We start from the raw sequence: 22,078 nt of genomic DNA, 5'->3' as shown, positions 1-22,078 counted from the left end.
GGAGAACTAGAAAGCAGTTCAAAGCGTCCTTCACCCTCAAAGAAGACGTTGTCAGACTATGAACCACTTCACAGCATTTGTATGAAATAAAGGCACTGAAAGTCTCATGATGCTGTGTCTTACTTGTCTACCCCTATTTATTCATAGAATGCATTAGTTGGGCCCCTTAATTATTTCTTATCTACTTACTGCCTATATAAGTCATATTGAAGAATTTTATCATTACATTTAGGATTTTTTTATTTACAACTTGGACAAGTGTATTATTCCACAGAGTATTACATGTGTGCAAATTTAGTAATAGATTTTTGAAAATTGGCCTCCCCAGCAAAACAGAAGGTAGGAATTCTTGCAAACACTTTTGCCCATGGCACTGAGCTAGGTACATAGAATTCTGTGGAAATGAATTAGTTTGTAACAGCCAAAAACAGTGTTGAAGGAGATATAGCAATAATGTTGATCTTAGTTATAAGGGTAAAATAAGATCACTTGAAAAACCTCTCTCAGTTTTTGACAAATTAATGAGTATGGCTGTCTTCTTCCCCTTAATATAATTCTGTATATGTGACACAAATGCTAGTCTGGTTGATTCTGAGAAACAGAAAATAAAATACTGATTACTCTTAGAAAGACATAAGCTAATATATATGGAGGGAAGAACAATTTAGATACGAAAAGAACTGGCTGCAAAAACAGCAGGAACTTAAAGAAGAACTTTTAAGTTGTAATTTCTGCCTTTCTTCACATTGCCCTGCGAGAATTATTTCCTACAGTAAGGAGAAAAAACAGCAGCACCAACCCAGCATCAGTGACAAATGGTGAGGAAACAGCAGAAAGGCAATCCAACCTAGCTGGGTTGGAGGGTGAATAACAACAGGTTCCCAGATATTTTGGGTGGATCCTGATGATTTTCTCTTCTCTATCCTCCCTATCAGGACTAGTGAGGAGAAAAGAAGAGTCCTCAAAGTACGTAATTGCTTACTGTGGGGCGGTGAGCAAAGAGAGTGATTCTGCCCAGATTGCAAAATTAGAAAATCTCAGACTGGAGGTGGATTCCTTCACCTTATACCAGATAAAAGAGAATTGTGGAACAGAAATTCAAAATAAATATAAATAAAATCTTAAAATAAATATAAGTAAGAATTAAATATTCTCAAAGAGATGAGGGAGAATAATGGAAAAGATGAGCAGAATAATACATTTTGAAAAAAATAGAACTCAGTAGATAAATTAAAATAGAATAAATACAATTGGGTAACAAACTAATGAATTTGAAATTAGAGGAAAATTTTAAAACATCACAAGAAAGAGATAAAGAAAAAGAGAAGAAAAAACAAAATTTTGGAGAGAGGAAGGATGGATATATAATTGTTAACCTCCACATTGAAGGTTTTCCAGGAAACTATATTTTTAAAAAATGAAAGAGAGGAAGTATTTGGAGAAATAGTGGCCTAACATTTGTAAGAATTAAAAAAGAAAAATATTGCAAAGTTTCATAGTGCCAAACCTTTTAGATGATTTAAAAAGACAATACAAACATATTAAAGTGAATTTTAAAACATCAAACACAAAAAAGAGATTACTAAAGTTTTCTAATAAAGAACAGAGTATTTACAAAAAAAACAAGAAATGAAACACTAATGCAATTATTGTTAATGTTATATTCATAATAGAGGAGAATAACATTTTTCAAGAGTAATAATAAAAGGACTTTAAATCTGAAATATTATATGCAACTAACAATAATTTACATGCAAAGGAAACATACTTACATATTCTCAGGCAAACAAGAACTCAGAAATTTCATCAAGCAAATGACTCTTTTGAAAATACTTTCAGGAAGTATAATGGTAAGTTGAAACTAGAAAAATCTATGAAATACATGAAATGTACAGGTAAGAAAACAGCATAGTAAATTTTCCTGTTGCTAAAACAAACCTAAAATCTATAAAAGATCCATAAAGCTCAGAGTTAAAAATGCAAACGTGGTGGCAGGGGAGAAGAAAATAAGAGACAAGAAAGAGAGAGGTGATATGGATATGGATAAACTAAGAAATGGGTAGAAGAAAAAAAGTAATGTAGATATTCATCATTGTTTTACTGGTAACCAAACAATAAATAAAACACAATATTAACTTTCATACAAGAAGAAGGAACTTCTTGTATGAAATTGAATGGAAAGTGTGAAAGGCAAATTAAACTAATACACAGAAAATATACAATAAAAATCAAATATTAAGAAAGAAATGAGTCCTAGTAACAATCGCAATAAATGTAAATGTATTAAACTCACTGACAAAAGACAGAGACCTTCAGAATGGATTAGAAGAAACATTATCCAACAAAAGATAAAATACAAGAGAAAACTTCAAAGAAAAGATGATAAAAGTTGAGAATAAAGGTAAAACTTTCAATTACAAACAATGTTGGATTAGTTTACCATAACAAGTGTCTCACTGAGGACAACTATAAGAAGGGTAAAATTTTAACATTATTTTTATGCACATAGAAGAGTTTATGAGACCAGGCCAAAATTAAAGGGAACCAAGAAAAAATAAACAAGTATGAAAGCAATTTTGACTATTATCAGGCAAATTGCAACCATGCCTCTTCTTTGAGAATGTTACTTTTTCTGTGGAGGTCTTTTATCCACATATACAGAAATCTAGAAGTCCCTGAGAATTTACTCCTTCCACACAGCCCTTGACCAGTGGCTCACAGAAGTAGGAGTATAGCAAGTTAGCTTCTTTGCCTTGGGCAACTCTGAGGTTAACTTACTCCAGCGTTCTCCTGCAAGATCAGGCCAAAGCTATATTTGCAGGGCTTTATCTGAGACTGCACCCTGGCATGGCTTTCTTCTCTCCCCTTTTCTGCTTTCCATGCTACCTTGCTGATCTCTATAGAGACTATTGCCTTTCTAAATCATTTGTTCATGAATCCTTGCCTCAGGGTCTGCTTCTGGGAAAACTGACCTAAGATACCATCTCTAATATTGTCCCTTCCTCATTCTTTCTAGTTTTTATTTTTTAAAGTCTTTCTGTCATCTGTTGTTTCTGTTGGACTCTATCAAGTGATTTATTGTGGGTATTATTTTTTAAATTTTGACTGTAAATTCATGTTTCTTGGGACTTTATCTGTAGAAATCCTTTGAAGCCTGGATGGAATGTGTATTCCCTCAAACATAATTTGCCTAGGTTTATCTGAGATCCCTGAAGAAACTACTATTTGGGGCCACTTTAAATAGATTGTTGGATTTAGGTTTGTTAGGCCACTAAGTCAATGTGGATTCAGTGTACAAATCAGCATGAGGAGTGTTCTTTGGCTATGAATGTTCAGGTGAGATATTTTGTCTGAATTCAGCACAAAAATCATAGGAAAGAATTTCCTTCTCTTGTGCTGTGGGGTGGATTTATTTCTGGTACACCCCATACACAGGATAGAGCCATTTAGGGTCCCAGCATTATGTAGGTATGCCCTACTGGCTTTATCACTTTGGTGAGCCATAGGCTTTGTCTTCTGTGCCTTCTGTCCTGTGGGGCAGAAAAAAATGGAAACTAAGATTTGATAAGATTAACTACATAGTCTAAGGTCCAAATAATTTCAGTGCTTTCTTAACTTTCTAAATAAGAATTTTAATTTGACCTTGAAAAGTTCCTTCTGTCTTGAAAGAGCAAGGATATAGTTATTAGATTTAAGAAATTTATTTTTACTTAAATATAAAAATATATTTAAGTTAAAATATATTTAAGTTAAAATATATTTTTATATTTATTTTTATATTTAAAATATATTTTTATATTTTTATATTTATTTTTAATATAAAATTGTTATATTTTGTTTTAATATAAAATATATTTTTATATTTAATTTTATATATTTATATTTATTTAAATGTGTGTATTAACACAAACATTAAATGTATTAACACACATTTAAATATATTTAACACATGACACGTGTGTTTCTTCCAATGTCAAGTAAAGGCCATGTTTGCTGATATGCCATACATTTATTTGTTTATTTATTTATTGGAGAGGTTATGGGGGGTTTTCCATGCATATTAAACATGCTGCTGACTTAAAATTCTATTATCCAGAGAGCAGCATAATTCAGCCTAGTCCATTTAAATTTGATAAAAATTATATGTATTAAACAATAATGAATTGATCATCAACAGCAATGAACAGACTTAACAGGAGAGGAAAGACAAATGTCAGTTAATACTCTCGCTTTGTGAACAAGTAGTTGTATAATTTACCACAATAAATTGTTTTCATGGCTTTTTAGTCAAGGCTATATAACAGAGAATGCCAGTGAATACCAATAATAACAACAATATTGGAGCCTATTATCAACTCAGCTATAAGAAAAATAAAGAATGAGTACGGTTGTTATGGAATCAGGAACATATTCAGGGAAAAGTTAGAGGAAATAGCACTAAGTTGTCATACATTACTTCAAAAAATGAAAAAAAGGTATTTTACTTTCTTCCTTACATAAGGAGAAGGACTAACAATTTTCTCTAAGGATAAGGGGGAAAAAACCTTTCTACCTTTTACCCTCTGATCAGGACCTCTTGTTCTAGAGGGAATAAAATATATCTCACCCTTGGAATCAATCATTGTGAATGGATGAGTTGTGTAGGCAAATATAGTTTTAAATGAAATAAAATTGAGCTTAGGTGAAATTAGTGAGAACCAGTATATAAGTAAGAAAATTTTTATTGATTTCAATATGTTAGTTGAGATTTTAGGCTAAGGGATTGTCACAGGTAGGATCATATTACATAAAATGATGAAAGTAATAGACAACAATCCCTGTGAAAAAGCTTGAGAATTCCTCATAGCTGCAATAGAGTCACTGAAAAGGATTTATGGTACTTGTATAGGTAGAAGTATTTCCATTTTTCTATCATTTTCTAATATTATTGCTACCAAGCATCATTTTTATTAATACCCATGACTTGCTCTGGGTATTAAAAAAATTTTACTCCTCAAATTGCATGGAAAAAGTAACTGTTAATTCACTTTTTTTTTTTTTTTTGAGATGGAGTCTCACTTTATCTCCCAGGCTGGAGTGCCATGGTATGATCTCAGCTCACTGCAACCTCCGCCTCCCAGGTTCAAGTGATTCTCCTGCCTCAGCCTCCTGAGTAGCTGGGATTACAGGGTGCACCACCATGCCCAGCTAATTTTTGTATTTTTAGTAGAGATAGGATTTCACCATGTTGGTCAGGGTGGTCTCAAACTCTTGACCTCATGATCTGCCCACCTCGGCCTCACAAAGTGCTGGGATTACAGGCATGAGCCACTGCACCTGGCCTAATTCATGTTTAAATAATCACAAGCATATATAATTGGAAATCAGATCAGCAAGAAATAACCAGTAGACAACGGAGTTGATATAAAGTAAAGATCAACCTAGTGTTCTAATTTTTATTCATTCATTCATTCATTCATTTACTTTTTCATTTATTCTCCTATTCATTTCATTATTTATTAATTATTAACTAGTTTTTATGTATCAGAAACCATATGGGGCTTATGAGTTTTTATTGTGGTTAAGTGCAAAGTTCCCAAGAGCCTTATGAAATATTAAAAGTAACTCAAGGCCCCTCTACTATAAACTTTGTAGATTATAATTTTTTGAGGGGTTAATACTTATGTATAGAAATCATTGAGACCTAGAGAGTTTAAATGATTTGCCCTAGATTGTACAGATAATTAATGGTTGTCTCAGCACTAGAAGCCAATCTTCTTAATTCTACTGAAAGTAGATAATATGATGACTCATATTTATTATGTAAATATTATATTTTATTATAAACATGACAGTTCATATTGACTATTACAATTAACATGCAGTATAAAATATGTGTTAGTGTTACATTGTTGTTACCATTATATTGTATTATATTGCAGATATTTTTTCTTTTGGTGGCTGCATACAAATGAATTATAACTATATTAATAATATTTTTCTTTAAAAAACTAAAGATGACATTTTTAAGTCCTCTCTCTTGGAATCTGTCATTGCACTTGGCTAAAATGTAGCTACAGATTATTTGTACTATATCTTTCGACTGTACCAATTGGCAACAATTTTTCTCTTTAAACCCTAATCAATGAAAATAATACTTCTGTGTCTCAGTCAATCGCAGTTGCTTGTAAATGACCTTTGACTGATAAGTTTAATTGAAAACTGTGGTCAGCCTAGTCTGTCAGCAAGCATGTCATATAACACAAGATAATTTGAAAAAAAATGCAACAATGCATTCAATCTGTGGCAGTAGATCAGGAAAATTACTGCATATCCAGTGCTGAACAGAAGAAAAAATAATAGGGTATTTTCTGTTGACCTCCTTAAGAACCAACCTGGATCAAATCTACTTAAATTTTAAAACCAGATGAAATCAAGTGCGTTCCATCTCTTTGTAGCTAAACTTCTTAAGCCCCTCACTTTTAGTAGCAGCAGACTGTGTTTTCATTACTTATTCATCTCAGGATGCACTTATAAATATAAAATATCATCATTTGAGTTTGTTATACCATTAGCTTTAAAATTTTATAAACTACTGAACAGGTGTTTATAAAGTTGAATAAGTTAAGGAGATTTATTGTTGTAAGAAAAGTGTATCAGTAGGAAATACCATTGATAAACAGAAAAACGAAAGATTGTAAAATTTACTGAGTGCATTTGAGAAAAAATATATTTTTCAAGCTTTCAAAATATTAAAGTTGTCTTAATGACTGAAATGTGTTTTTTAAAAATCCTGTGTTTAAAAAAATTCTAATGAAATTTGTTACATTTTGTCTCTACAAAAATAGTCATCTCACTTTTATTTTCACGCTTCCATTTGTGAAGTATACTCCATGCACCTCAAACATTTATGATGAGCATATTTTCTGATCCAGGATATATGTATATTAGAAGATTTTTTCCTTTTTTCATAAGAAACATTATTTTAAGCTTCCCAAAAAATTAATACCTCAGAGGTTAAACAAGGAAGCTTTTCACTGAAAAAAACTTGTGAAGAAATTATTATTCTAGATTTACTTTCAACCACCAAGGAAACTTGATGTGGCAGTAAAATAAATCTTGGAAGAAAATATAAGAAATTAAAAAATGCTCAAAGTTAACCAAAAGGACCTTTACAGGTTTAATTCATTGAACAATTATTAATACTAAGCACCTATTTGGTGCCAAGAACTATGAAAATCTCTGCAGAAGAGAACAAGGAAAGATCCTTATCCTCTAACCACTTATAGTCAAATGGGAAATGCAGCCATGCTAACAGGCATTTACAATACAGTCTACTAAATTCCACCAAAGGGCTATCATAAGGTATCATAAGATATAGGAGGGGGATCTAATTTAGCTTTGAAGGATCAATGAAGGCTCCTAAGAGAGATTATTGCTAAGACTTGATGGATGAATAAAAGTTAGATTATAGAAAGTTTGAGAACAGTAAGAGTGTTCCCAGCAGAGAAAAGTACTTCTGCAAAAGCTAGGAATCATAATTATGAGAATATAGTGCATCAGCCCACTGTTTAGAATAGATGATGAGAGGCTAACAAATACAGGCAGGAGGCAGAATTACTCTGTTCCTATTTTGAATCTGTCCTTGCCACTATGAAGAAGTTATCATCAAAATAGAACAGCTAGAAAAACACCATTAACAATGAATTGAAGTCCCAGAAAAAGTAAAAAGAAGAGACTATAGGAAGCCACCCAGACATTCTAAATGAATTCAAGTTTGCAGTCATAGACAAATTACATTCCAAGGTGTCGAAAGGACTTACAGATGTAATCATAGAATGATTGGCAGTAATCCACAGAAATCACAGAGAAGGGGAGTGCTGCTAGAAGATGCGATCTAAGCAAATATCACCCCAATTCTCTCAAAGGGTTAAAAGGTAGATTCTGGAAACTACTAGATCAGCAATGTTGATCTTTAACAGCATTTTAGAATGGATTACTTTAACAAGGAATTGAAATCACTTAGAAAATAATGAGACAACCTCTAAGATCCAGTCTGAGTGCACTAAAAGCATTCCTGCCAAATTAGCCTCATTTAATTTTCTGTAGGTTGAGTAGCAGGGGAGATTTTAGGGGGTTGGGAGGTTGCAATATTTGTGTTTAGGTAGGGATTTTGACGAAATCACTCGTATGTCCTTGGGAACAAGGGTAGAAATATGACTGAATGACAGTGGACGTAAGCAGATATGTAAAGCTGGTTGAACAACTGCATGTAGTTATTAATTTGATGTTAGCTTGCAGGAAGGTTTCTCACAGCACGTCTCATGGCTTTGTCTCTGGCTTTGTCTTGGTCACATTTAAAAACCCAATCTGGGTGAAGAGGCATCAGTCTGCAAAGGGTCAGCTAATGTACTGACTTTTAGAAACATAATTTGAAGTGTTTTAGTAGATAGAACAATGCATAAAAAACAGAACATGGAGATTGTGGAGCCGAATTAATGTACTGTTTTGGTTTTTGCCATCAGTTCCATAAGAATACATTTGGCGGGGAGGTTTTAAAAGTTCAACTCGAAAGGAGTATAAAATGAAATTAAAAAACCGCTTTAGGTACTTCAGTAACCACAAACTCTAACAATTACACCGGCTTAAAAAAAGAAAGTGAATTCAAGGTAAGACTATGTTAATAGAAGAACATTTTCAAAATGAGGGAAATGGCCACAAGACTGATTTCTAATATTTCACTGAACTCGGACATTTGTCAGACCTATCCTGAGTGTTACATACAGGTATACACGCATGGTGGACGGAAGCTATGGTTTTTTCCTCAACATCCATTACACCTTCTCTGTTAATACCAGCAATAAGGTTTGAGTGAACTTGACCTCACCCTAGCTTCAAGAGTAAGCTATGCTCAGCTAAGGCCAATCAGGAAAATTCCATCTTCCTTTGCACTGTAATTGGTTTAATTAATCCAGGCCTAAGCTTATCAGTGTGTGGCATTCCCCTGGTTTTACGGATTGGTTCAGGGGTGGCCAATTGATGTAAATCTCAGTGTTTTCTTTTTTTTCAGCAGTTAATGGGTAGCAACCTGCCTTTCTTGCTGAATGAGGCATCATGCAGCACTAATTACTGCTGGCAGGCATCCAACAGCTAGGAGGGAAGTCAGTCTGGGGAGAAAGTTAACACCGATAAAAGTGGAGCAGAGCAAACCACTGGAAAATGGACCCAGCGCTCTGATGGAACTGTGCCTAAATTACCCTGGAGTTTTTAGTTATTCTTTAAGCCAACTTGAGTTTGATTTTTCTGTCGCCTTTAATTGAAAGCATTCTAAGATTCAAGAACAAATTCTAATAAGATTATTGTCAAAACAGAGGGAAGCCATGCCATAAAAAAGGAAGTTTAGAGGAACTTGGGAAGAGAAAATCTTAAGGGTTGTATAAATTGTTTAGTTCAGTCCCATGGAAGAGGGAGTGGATTGTTGTTACTGTTTGAGAATTCAAAACTAGGGCTGTTGCTACTAAGTTCTGAGAAGATGAATTTTGATTCAACATAATTCACTGAGAAATACTCTTTTGAGAATATTTCTAATTTTTAGAGGCATTCCATTGTAGAAAGAGCTGTTTGCCAATTACTGGAAGTGCTAAAACAAAGAATAATGAACCATCTGTAAGTTCTATTCAGCCCCAAGATTGCATGGTATTTTGCCATCCTTATTTATTTAAATGTAGGTAAGGTAGTTACTTGTTTAAAAGAGCTTGATTTCTGTCTTGGCTTCCCCATCTAACCTGAGAGATGTTTTCCTCATCTGAAGAGTGAATGGGTTGGAATACATGGTTTCTAATACTGTTTCTATAGCTCTAAATTGTTTTGCTACCCAAAAGAAATTGCTGGTGGTATGGAAGCAAGGCTCTTGGCCTGCTGTTTCTCCAGATAGTAGTAAAAATCTAAAACAAGATAATAGTAAAAATCTAAAAATGAAAAATTAGAATAGCAGCTTCAAATTAATCACATTCCTTCTCAAAGTTAGAATGAGGGATTGCCTTGGGAAATGCTACTCAGATCTAATTCCTGAAGATATTATGTGCATATTTCAGAAATGGAAGGTTCTATTGAGTGAATTATCAAAAATTCAATCACTTAACAATAATTTATTGAGCAGTTATATTCCCCAGCTTGTGCTAGACACTATGATAAAGAAAATCTTACCTGTCTGGCTTTGTCTAAGGTAGAAAGTATATCATAAGTTTTCAGTATAGAACATTCTCTGTTATACAGAGGCCACATAACACCTTCCTTATCCTTTGCTTTTAGTACTAAATTCAGGATATTGCCAAGGTTCTCTGTATAGAAAAGAAGAGAAAGTGAGAAGAAATAAAAGTATCATTCTAAGTGCTTATTAGATTGTTTTGAGCGTCCCAGAAAGATCTCTTAAATAGAGGCTATAAACCTATTTCATACTATACATGCATGTAATATTTTACTGAAATAAATAAAAGATCAATATCTTTTAGAAAATATAAATAGGCAAAAAGAGGGTTCATAAACCTTCTGAGTGTCTAGCTAATAAATTCCTATTGTATGTTCATTACTGTGCAAGTGCTTTGGAGTCTGTGTAAAATGCAGTTCCTGCCTCCTAGGAGGTAATACTGGAAAAACCAAGATAAAATGAATGAGCTTTTGAATACTTTTGTGCACAGGTGTTGATCTATGTGGAATATGCCATGAGTGCTGCAGGAGCATAGAGGGGAGATGAAAAAAAACGCAGACTGGGAAGTTAATATGGAGAGAGTAGGTCTTAGCCTTGAAGGATAGGCTGAAACTTAAAAGGCAGCAGAGTTGAAAACTGCTGCTTAGGTGAGGGAAAAATACTTGAAAATGTTCAGAAGCAACAGATTTTTATATAGCCATGAGGATACTGACTGTATTAGGCAAAAGAGTTTGTGGGAAACACGGATAGGTATTCTGAGATGTCTTAAAAATTAAGCAAAGACATTTACATTGCATAGAGTTTTAAGCAGGGAGATCTAGATTGTTTTTGAGCAGAGACTAACATAAGCAATGTTTAGGGAAATGTATATTGGCAGTAACTATAGCATGAATTGGAGGATAAAGAGGCTTGCTAGGAAGTGATTAAAGTAATCCCTGTGTGAGTGATGATGTCAAGACATGGGTAGTTCCATGTAACAAACCAGCATATGTACTCCCTCAACCTAAAATAAAAGTTGAAATTATTTTAAAAAGAGCAATTGCAACAAAAAGAAAAATTGACATATGGGACTTAATTAAACTAAAGTGTTTCTACACAGCAAAAGAAACTATCATCAACAGAGTGAACAGACAACCTACAGAATAGGAGAAAATATTCACAAACTATGAATCCAACAAAGGTCTAATAACTACCATCTATAAGAAACTTAATGCAACAAACAAAAACTAATACCCCCTTTAAAAGGTAGGCAAAGAACATGAACAGACAGTTCTCAAAAGAAGACATACAAGCAGTCAATAAACATTTTAAAAAATGCTCAGCATCACTAATTAACAGAGAATTGCAAATCGAAATCATGATGATTTTGACTCATCTCACACCAGTCAGAATTACCATTATTGAAAGGCCAAAAAATGACAGATGTTGGTAAAGCTACAAAGAAAAGGGAATGCATATATACTGTTGATGGAAAAATAAATTAGTTCAGGCACTGTGGAAAGAAATTTGAAGATTTCTCAAGAACTTAAAATAGAACTACCATTTGACCCAGCAATCCCATTACTGGGTATATATCCAAAGGAAAATAAATCATTCTACCATTAAAACACATGTATTTGTATGTTCATTGCAGCACTATTCACAATAGCAAAGACATGGAATCAACCAAGGTGCCTATCAATTGTGGATTGGATAAAGAAAATGTGGCATGTATACACCATGGAATACTAGACAGCCACAAAAAAGAATGAAACCATGTTCTTTGCAGCAATGTGGATGCAGTTGGAGGCCATTATCCTAACCAAATTAATGCAGGAACAGAACATCAAATACAACATGTGTGGATGCAGTTGGAGGCCATTATCCTAATCAAATTAATGCAAGAACAGAACATCAAATACAACATGTTCTCACTTATAAGTGGAAAATAAACATGGGGTACCTATTGATACAAAGATAGGAAAAATAGACACTGGGGACTATTCCACTGACAGGACTAGATAGGTCATCAAGACAGAAAGTCAACAAAGAAACAATGGACTTACACTATACCCTACAGCAAATGGACTTAACAGATATTTACAGAACATTCTACCCAAAAGCTGCAGAATATACATTCTTTTCATTAGCACATGGAACATTCTCCAAGATAGACCATATAATAGGCCACAAAACAAGTCCCAATACATTTTAGAAAACCAAAATTATATCAAATATTCTCTCAGACCACAGTGAAAATCAACTTTAAAAGGAACCCACAAAACTATGCAAATACATGGAAAGCAAATAACCTGCTCCTGAGTGATCAGTGGTCAACAATGAAATCCAGATGGAAATTAGAAAATTCTTTGAACTGAACAATAATAGCGATACAACTTATCAAAACCTCTGGGATACAGCAAAAGTGGTGTAAGAGGTAAGTTCATAGCGTTGAATGCCTACATCACGAAGTCTGAAAGAGCACAAAAAGACAATCTAACATCACAACTCAAGGAACTAGAGAAACAAGAACAAACCAATCTCAAACCCGGCAAAGAAAAGAAACAACGAAGATCTGACCAGAACTAAATGAAATGGAAACAAAAACAATACAAAAGATAAATGAAACGAAAAGCTGCTTCTTTGAAAAGATTAAAAAAATTGATAGACCATTAGTGAGATTAACCAAGAAAAGAAGAGAGAGGATCCAAATAAGCTCAATTAGAAATGAAGTGAGAGATATTACAACCAATACTGCAGAAATACAAAAGACCATTCAAGGCTACTATGAACAACTTTATGCACACAAACTAGAAAATCTAGAGGAGATGGATAAATTCCTGGAAATATACAATCCTCCTAGATTAAACCAGGAAGAAATAGAAACTCTGAACAAACCAATAAAAAGCAGTCAGATGGAAATGGTAATTAAAAAACTGCCAAAAAAAATATCTAGGATCAGATGGATTCACAGCTGAATTCTATCAGATGTTTAAAGAAGAATTGGTACCAATCCTACTGACACTATTCGAAAAGACAGAGAAAGAGGGAATACTCCTTAAATCATTCTATGAATTTAGTATCACTCTAATACCAAAACCAGGGAAGCACGTAACAAAAATAAAACCACAGGCCAATATCCCTGATGAATATGAATATAGATGCAAAAATCCTCAACAAAATACTAGCTAAATGAATCCCACAGCATATCAAAAAGATAGTCCATCATGATCAAGTGGATTTCACACCAGGGATCCAGGGATGTTTTAACATATGCAAGTCAATAAATGTGATACATCACATAAACAGAATTAAAAACAAAAATGACATGATCATCTCAATAGACATAGAAAAAGCATTTGACAAAATCCACATCCCTTTATGATTCAAACCCTCAGCAAAATTGGCACAGAAGGTACATACTTTAAGGTAATAAAAGCCATCTATGAAAAACCCACCGTCAAGATCATACTAGATGGGGAAAAGTTGAAAGCATTCCCTCTGAGAACTGGAACACTGGAAAGGATGTCCACTTTCACCGCTTCTATTCAACATAATACTGGAAATCCTAGGTAGAGCAATCAGACAAAAGAAAGAAAGAAAGGGGATCCAAATCAATAACGAGGAAGCCAAACTGTCACTGTTTGCTGATGATATGATTGTATACCTAGAAAACCCTAAAGACTCATCCAAAAAGCTCCTGTAACTGATAAATGAATTCAGTGAAGTTTCAGGATACAAAATTCATGTACACAAATCAGTAGCAATGCTATACACCAATAGTGACCACGCTGAGAATCAAATCAAGAACTCAACCCCTTTTACAATAGCTGTAAAAAATAAAAATAAAATACTTAGGAATATACCCTACCAAGGAGGTGATAGGCCTCTGCAAGAAAAACTACAAAACACTGTTGAAAGAAATCATAGATGACACAAATAATGAAAACACATAGTGGATGGGTGGAATCAATATTGTGAAAATGACCATGTTGCCAAAAGCAATCTACAAAATCAATGCAATTCCCATCAAAATACCATCATCATTCTTCACAGAACTAGAGAAAACTATCCTAAAATTCATGTGGAACCAAAAAGGAGCCTACATAGCCAAAACAAGACTAAGCAAAAAGAAGAAATCTGGAGGCATCATGTTACCTGATTTCAAACTGTACTATAAGGCCATAGTCACCGAAACAACATGGTACTGGTATAAAAATAGGCACAAAGACCAATGGAACAGAACAGAGAACCCAGAAATAAACCCAAACACTTATAGCCAACTGATCTTTGAGAAAGCAAACAAAAACATAAAGTGAGGAAAGAATACCCTATTCAACAAATGGTGCTGGGATAATTGGCAAGTCACATGAAGAAGAATAAAACTGGATCCTCATCTTCCACCTTATGTAAAAATCAACTCAAGATAGATCAAAGAGTTAAATCCAAGATCTGAAAGCATAAAAATTCTAGAAGATAACATCAGAAAAACCCTTCTAGACATTGGCTTAGGCAAATACTTCTTTACCAAGTACCCAAAAGCAAATGCAACCACAAAGATAAATAGATAGGACTTAATTAAACTAAAAGGCTGCTGCACAGCAAAAGAAATAATCAGCAGAGTAAACAGATAACCAACCCACAGACTGGGAGAAAATCTTAGCAAACTATGCATCTGACAAAGGACTAATGTCCAGAATCTACAAGGAGGTCAAACAAATCAGCAGGAAAAATAAAATCCCATCAAAAAGTGGGCTAAGGACATGAATAAACAATTCTCAAAAGAAGACATGCAAATGACCAACAAACATATGAAAAAATGCTCAATGTCACTAATTATCGGGGAAATACAAATCAAAACCACAATGTGATACCACCTCATTCCTGCAAGAATGGTGATAATAAAAAAATAAAAAAAAATAGACGTTGGTGTGGATGGGGTGGAAAGGGAACACGATTACACTGCTGGTGAGAATGTAAACTAGTACAACTACTGTGGAAAACAGAATGGTGATTCTTAAAGAACTAATAGTAGGTCTACCATTTGATCTCACAATCCCACTCCTAGGTATCTACCCAGAGGAAAATAAGTCATTATATGAAAAAGACACTTGCACACATATGTTTACAGCAGCACAATTCGCAATTGCAAAAATAAGGAACCAACCCACATGCCCATCCATTAATGAGTGGATAAAGAAAATGTGTACATATTTACCATGGAATACTGCTTAGCCATAAAAAGGAACAAAACAATGGCATTTGTGGCAACCTGGGTGGAACTGCGGACTATTATTCTAAGTGAACTAACTCTTCACTTTTGAGTGAGAACATGTGATGTTTGGTTTTTGGAATAAAATACCAAACATCATATGTTCTCATAAGTGGGAGCTAAGCTATGAGGATGCAAAGGCATAAGAATGATACAATGGACTTTGGAGGCTTGGGGGGAAGGGTGAGAGGGGTGTGAGGGATAAAAGACTGCACACTGAGTATGGTGTGCACTAAATCACCACTAAAGAACTTATTCATGTAACCAAACACCACCCATACACAAAAACCTGTTGAAATAAAAAATAAAAACCAAAAATAAACAGAAAAAAAGAATTGGACAGGAAATTGAAATAAATTATTTTATATTGTTTATATCAAGCTATCTAGAAGGTAAGCAGATAAAAGTTTGCTTAAGTTGCTCTTACATTTAAATGTTTTTTCATCTTTTTGTGTTGGTGACATGCAAAACAGTTCAAGCTTTTCTCTACTGGTTTGTGTTGTCACAAACACTGGACACCAGAGTATAGTTTGTTCTCTCTATATTATATGCTGTATGTTATGAATGTGTTTTTGGATTATGTATAAGATTAATAATTTAAACTCTCAATATGCTGAGAAATGCTGAATTCATCATGAGAACACAATAAGAAAGTGATGATGCTACATCTATTACTTATTTCCACAATTGTGTTGATAGGTGCACAATTACTTTGGGGAAAAGCAAAATAAAACTACAGGGATACATCCTGAGAGAAAAACAATACTGAAGCTAGAAAAAAAACCTCAAAACATTGGATATAGGTTCATTTGGTTTTCTTTTGTTTACATTTTATAATATATTGCTTGATTTCTACATAGTAAAGTTAATTATATTGTGAAATAAAAAAATGATTTTGGAAATGGGCTTGGAATACCATCCCTTTTGAAGGGAAGAGATACATAGTACAAGTGCATGAATGCAGGTAGGTTGGAAGTTTGAGGGTGGAAGGATGAGGATGGTCTCTGTGATTTCTATTTGCTCAGACATATGAGGCAAAATTATCACTTATACAAGATTAAGTATGTGATGTTTCAGGTTTGTAGAGAAAGAAGAGTAAGTAAAATTTAGTTATCTTATAGTCTAGGAAAGAGAACTGATTTAGTAAAAGGTAGTTACTAGGTGGTGCTGAAGTTTGCTTTTATAAATTTAAAATTATCATGACTTCATCTTTACTTCATGTTCAGCTGCACAGAATTATGAGGTAGGTGAAGAGCTAAATTCAACCTGGATTAGAATCCTGTCAAGAAAGAAGGATTGAGAAAGAAAAGGGCAAGGAAAGAGAAGGAGTGTGCAAGGACATGATTGTAATCAGGCATGGAATGCAAGTGAGTGAGGAAGAAACGAAGCATGCAGAACAATCATGGGAGTGGAGGTGCTGGAGTCTATAAGTGGGAAGATGAAAGGTGTTATTTGAGATATTTGAGAGTGGGATTTGGGAGATGGAACAGTTATTGGCAATGACAAGATGAAGAGGACATCCAGGAGAGTGCATGAATGGGGAATGGCATCAAGGAACCATGAGGCCTAAGTGTTGCATTTTCTTCCCATCTATTGAAGTCACCAAGGTTGATCACAGGACTAGTAACAGAGGAAAAAAACAATGATCTCAGAGTGATATGGTTTGGCTGTGTCCCCACCCAAATCTCATCTTGAATTTCCACGTCTTGTGGGAGGGACCTGGTGGGAGGTAACTGAATCATGGGGGCAGGTCTTTCCTGAGCTGTTCTCGTGACAGTGAATAAGTCTTATAAGATCGGATGGTTTTTAAAAAGGGGAATTTCTCCTGCACAAGCTCTGTTCTCTTGTCTGCCACCATGTGAGATGTGCCTTTCACCTTCCACCATGATTGTGAGGACTCCCCAGCCATGTGGAACTCCAATAAACCTCTGTGTGTGTGTGTGTGTGTGTGTGTGTGTGTGTGTGTGTGTGTGTGTGTGTAAATTGCCCAGTCTTGGGTATGTCTTTATCAGCAGCATGAAAACAGACTAATATGGTAAGTTGATACCAGTAGAGTGGGGTGCTGCTGAAAAGATGCCCCAAAAGGGGGAGGCAACTTTGGATCTGGGTAACAGGCAGAGTTTGGAACAGTTTGGAGGGCTCAGAAGAAGATAGGAAAATGTGGGAAAGTGTGGAACTCCTTAGAAACTTGTTTACTGGCTTTGACCAAAATGCTGATAATGATATGGACAATGAAATCAAGGCTGAGGTGGTCTCAGATGGAAATGAGGGACTTGTTGGGAACTGGAGCAAAGATGACTCTTATTATGTTTTAGCAAAGAGACTGGTGGCATTTTGCCCCTGCCCTAGAGATGTGTGGACCTTTCAACTTGAGAGAGATGATTTAGGGTATTTGGCAGAAGAAATTTCTAAGCAGCAAAGCATTTAAGAGGTAACTTGGGTGCTGTTAAAGGCTTCAGTTTTATAAGGGAAGCAGAGCATAAATGTTTGGAAAATTTGCAGCCTGACAATGCAATATAAAAGAAAATCCCATTTTCTGAGGAGAAGCTGGCTGCAGAAATTTGCATAAGTAATGAGGAACTGAATGTTAATCCCAAAGACAGTGGGGAAAATGTCTCCAGGGCATGTCAGAGGTCTTCAAGGTAACCCCTTCCATCACAGGCCTAGAGGCCTAGGAGGCAAAAAGTGGTTTCATGGGCTGGGCCCATGGTGCCTGTGCTGTGTGCAGCCTAAGGACTTGGTGCCCTGTGTCCCAGGCACTCCAGCCATGCCTGAAAGGAGCCAACACAGAGCTCAGGCTGTGGCTTCAGAGGGTCCATGCCTCAAGCCTTTGCAGCTTCTATGTGGTGTTGAGCCTGCCAGTGCATGGAAGTCAAGAATTGGAGTTTGGGAACCTCCACCTAGATTTCAGAGGATGTACGGAAATGCCTGGATGTCCAGGCAGAAGTTTGCTACGGGGCAGGGCTCTCAGGGAGAACCTCTGCTAGGACAGTGTGAAAGGGAAATGTGGGGTTGGAGCCCCTACACACAGTCCCTACTGAAGTACTGCCTAGTAGAGCTGTGAGAAGAGGGCCATCGTCCTCCAGACCCCAGAATGGTATATCCACTGACAGTTGCATTGTGTGCCTGGAAAAGCTGCAGACACTCAATGCCAGCCCATGAAAGCAGCCAAGAGGGAGGCTGTACCCTAACAAACCACAGGTGTGGAGCTGCCCAAGACCATGGGAACTCATCTCTTGCATCAGTGTAAACTGGATGTGAGACATGGAGTCAAAGGAGATCATTTTGGAACTTTGAAAGATTTAACTGTCCTGCCAGATTTCAGACTTTCATGGGGCCTGTAGCCTCTTTGTTTTGGCCAATTTCTCCTATTTGGAATGGCTGTATTTACTCAATGCCTATACTCCCATTGTATCTAGGAAGTAACTAACTTGCTTTTAATTTTACAGGCTCATAGGTGGAAGGGACTTGCCTTGTCTCAGATGATACTTTGGACTGTGGACTTTTGAGTTAATGCAGACATGAGTTAAGACTTTGGGGACTGTTGGGAAGGCATGATTGGTTTTTGAAATGTGAGGTCATGAGATTTGGGAGGGGCCAGGGGTGGAATGATATGGTTTGGCTGTGTCCCCACCCAGATCTCATCTTGAATTCCCACGTGTTGTGGGAGGGACCTGGTGGGAGGTAACTGAATCATAGGGCAGGTCTTTCCTGTGTTGTTCTCATGGTAGTGAGTAAGTATTACAAGATCTGATGGTTTTTAAAAAGGGGAGTTTCCCTGCACAAGCTCTCTTCTCTTGTCTGCCACCATGTGAGATGTGCCTTTCACCTTCTGCCATGATTGTGAGGCCTTCCCAGCCACGTGGAACTATAAGTCCATTAAACCTCTTTCTTTTGTCTTGGGTATGTCTTTATCAGCAGCGTGAGGACAGACTAATACACAGAACTGAGATCATCACTGCATCACAGGCCAGCAAGTGATGGGAGGCAATATGACAGAGTCTTTAAGAAGATGAACGCTGGAGCCATACTTCCAGGGTACAAATCCCCACTCTAATACCTCCTAGCTGTTTGACTGTGAATATTTCACCCAATATCCCAGTACCTCAAGTGCATCAGTAGAATAAGGATAGGAACATATGTAACTCAGAGTGTTTTGTGAATATTAAGTCAGATCGATGCCTGGAACAGGGTAATCATTTTGAGCCCTGACATGCTCGAATTTTCAGATTAAGAGTGAACAACAGGTATGTACATGCGAATATTCCAAAATCCGAAAAAATCTAAAATAGGAAACACTTCTGGTCCCTAGGACGAGATAAGGGATATTCAACCTATGTAAATGTTAGTTGCTGTCAACTGGTAGTGTCTTCAGACGGGAGTATTTTCGGTGTGTGTATGTGTGTGCATGACTATGTATTTATCAGGGAGCATATAGAAATTAGCAAGGAAGAGCAAGAACCAGAAAGACATAAAGTATGGTTGAGAAAAGAGCCATCACTTGAGAAGGCTTCAGGGGCAGCTGTGACCGTGGGGAGGGCCAAGTTTCAGTGAGAGCCCAAAGGTAACAAGAATGACTGGAAAAAAGACAAAGATATAACAGTTAGCTGCAAGCAGACTATGAGTTTCAGAAGCCACAAAACAAGAATTTAGAGTGGTGGGGAGGAGAGGAAGAACTGGGTCAGATTTAAGGGCATATATAGAACCATGTAGAGATAAGTGTCCTCATCCTGATGGATAACTGGGAGGGCAGCGCTGGTCCTGCCGAGTCAGGTAAACTAAAGAGATTAGGTATGAGGACCTTGGTCCTGGTTATCTTTCCTCCTGAGACCAAGTGTCATGTAGTTTTTCAGAAGATGGACTGTGGAGCTTGCAAAAATGAACAAAGTTCTTCTGTGGCCTGTGTAAAGTCTAGAGGAGTCACTACCTAGCAGGGAGGCCAGACCACTTCTAAGTAAAAGAGGGGAAGTTAATTATTATTATTATTAGTGCTGAAACTGAATCCTAACAGCTAATTCCGGTCCCCAAGACTAGGTCAAAACCTCTTTATAAGTTTTCAAAGCACCTAATTTCTTCTTCAAAGCACATATCATAATAGTGATCACATAATAAATTGTATATTCATTTAATGACTATTTCCCCTCACCTCTTTTATTCACTGATAGAGCATCAGAACTTTGCATGTAGTAGTCACTATAGCTAATGCATATCTATGTATCTGTATCTCTATTTACATATATAACTATATCATCTGTCTTTTAGTGGGTTTTATATTAGGGGTTAAGTTGCCAAATAGATTTATTTGGCAGTGATCATATCTAATTTCAAACATTTGCTCTCTAAGCCTGGTGCCTCCATGTTACTTATCCAGGGTTAATGAAGGCTGTGTTTGGAGGAGCAGCCCAGGGAAGAATGGAATTCAGCTCTACAGTTATCTTGCAGGCTTTACTTGCAGCATCTTTATAGACTTTCCGCAGGAGAAAAACAATGGAGACTTGGCTTGAGGAATGAATCAGTCCAAATTATTGAAACTTGAGTAGCAGAGTAGGCTTAAGCTAGTATGAATAAGAGTTTGCTTGGGATGTCCTTTTCACAGTTGAATTCAATAGACAAAGATTCTTTTTACATTATCTGGAATTGCTCAGTGGTTATTTCATTTTTTGTTCCTCAACTAGATCATACCTCTCTAGTGACAGGAGGGAGTGTCACTTGGGCTGCAGGCAGCCAAGCCTTGTTTGGCCAAAGCCAAGTAGTTTCTTGTTATGCTATGTGAGCTATGTTTGGGAAAATCAGACTGGCATTATGTAATAATACATAAAAAAGGCCATCTTGTGGTCAAGGTGCTGTGGTTAATGGGTGAGAAAACAAGGTTGCAGACCACTTGCCACCCTGTTAATAGGGCCTCCTGGAATTAATAAGGCCGTGTTGTCAGGGCATAGGGGCATAAACGCAACACCAGTTCATTTGTTGCTGCATTCCCCATAGTACATAACTGTCTACAGCAGCTATGGTGTACACGTTAATAATTATTTTACTCAGTGACCGGAAATAGTCTATTTTTTTTTCACTGTCATACTCTCAGATAGCTGCCGTAGCATTGCTTTTTTGCACATGTAGTAGCACACTTGGTTGAAACTGATTTTTGGAGTTGGGAAAGCTATCAGGGGACTGCTGAAATGAGGCAGCTTGTGGTATTTTCCCCTCCTCCTTACCCCTAGTTGAATTAATACCCAATTTAACAATTTAAACAAGTGTCTGAGAACCTAGGAGAGAATTTCAGGAAAAGTCAATAGTGCTTTGCAAATAGCTGGGGTCCAGTGAAGTTGAATCAGTGAGCTGAGCAAGAAGAGGGAAACACAGATTCAGAGCAAATACAGGAAGGTGGGGAAGAAAGATAGCAGGGGTAGGTAGGGTGGCAGCAAAAGAGTAAGGAATATCAGGATCCTTGAGACCTGCAACAACTTGCACATTTGACTTAGTGTCCTGTTCTTTTCACCCTAGCTTGGCCTGTTATTTGGCTGAAATCTGTGTCCTAAAGCAAACATTTTAGGTGGGGTTGATAGTAGGATCCCAGAAAATCTTTACGTAGAGGCTGGATTTAAATCCACTCTGCTCTCTTATTCCCACCCATTTAATATTGT

At 36.2% G+C, this 22,078-nt stretch overlaps 1 long non-coding RNA gene across 1 annotated transcript in view; it reads right to left on the bottom strand.

The window, feature by feature from the left end:
* The window catches only part of CXXC4-AS1 (CXXC4 antisense RNA 1), a 206,628-nt gene that overhangs the window by 11,221 nt on the left and 173,329 nt on the right, over positions 1-22,078 (bottom strand). Inside the window, exons 7-9 of the long non-coding RNA NR_125926.1 lie at positions 13,624-13,733; positions 10,186-10,319; positions 1,773-1,871 (exon numbers count right to left, since the gene is read on the bottom strand). This is a non-coding gene — a long non-coding RNA (CXXC4 antisense RNA 1). The remainder of the gene's footprint in view (positions 1-1,772; positions 1,872-10,185; positions 10,320-13,623; positions 13,734-22,078) is intronic.

This window comes from Homo sapiens, chromosome 4, assembly GCF_000001405.40.
Source record: "Homo sapiens chromosome 4, GRCh38.p14 Primary Assembly".
In the NCBI taxonomy this organism is placed as follows: domain Eukaryota; kingdom Metazoa; phylum Chordata; class Mammalia; order Primates; family Hominidae; genus Homo; species Homo sapiens.
This window is presented reverse-complemented; position numbering and strand designations above follow the sequence as displayed.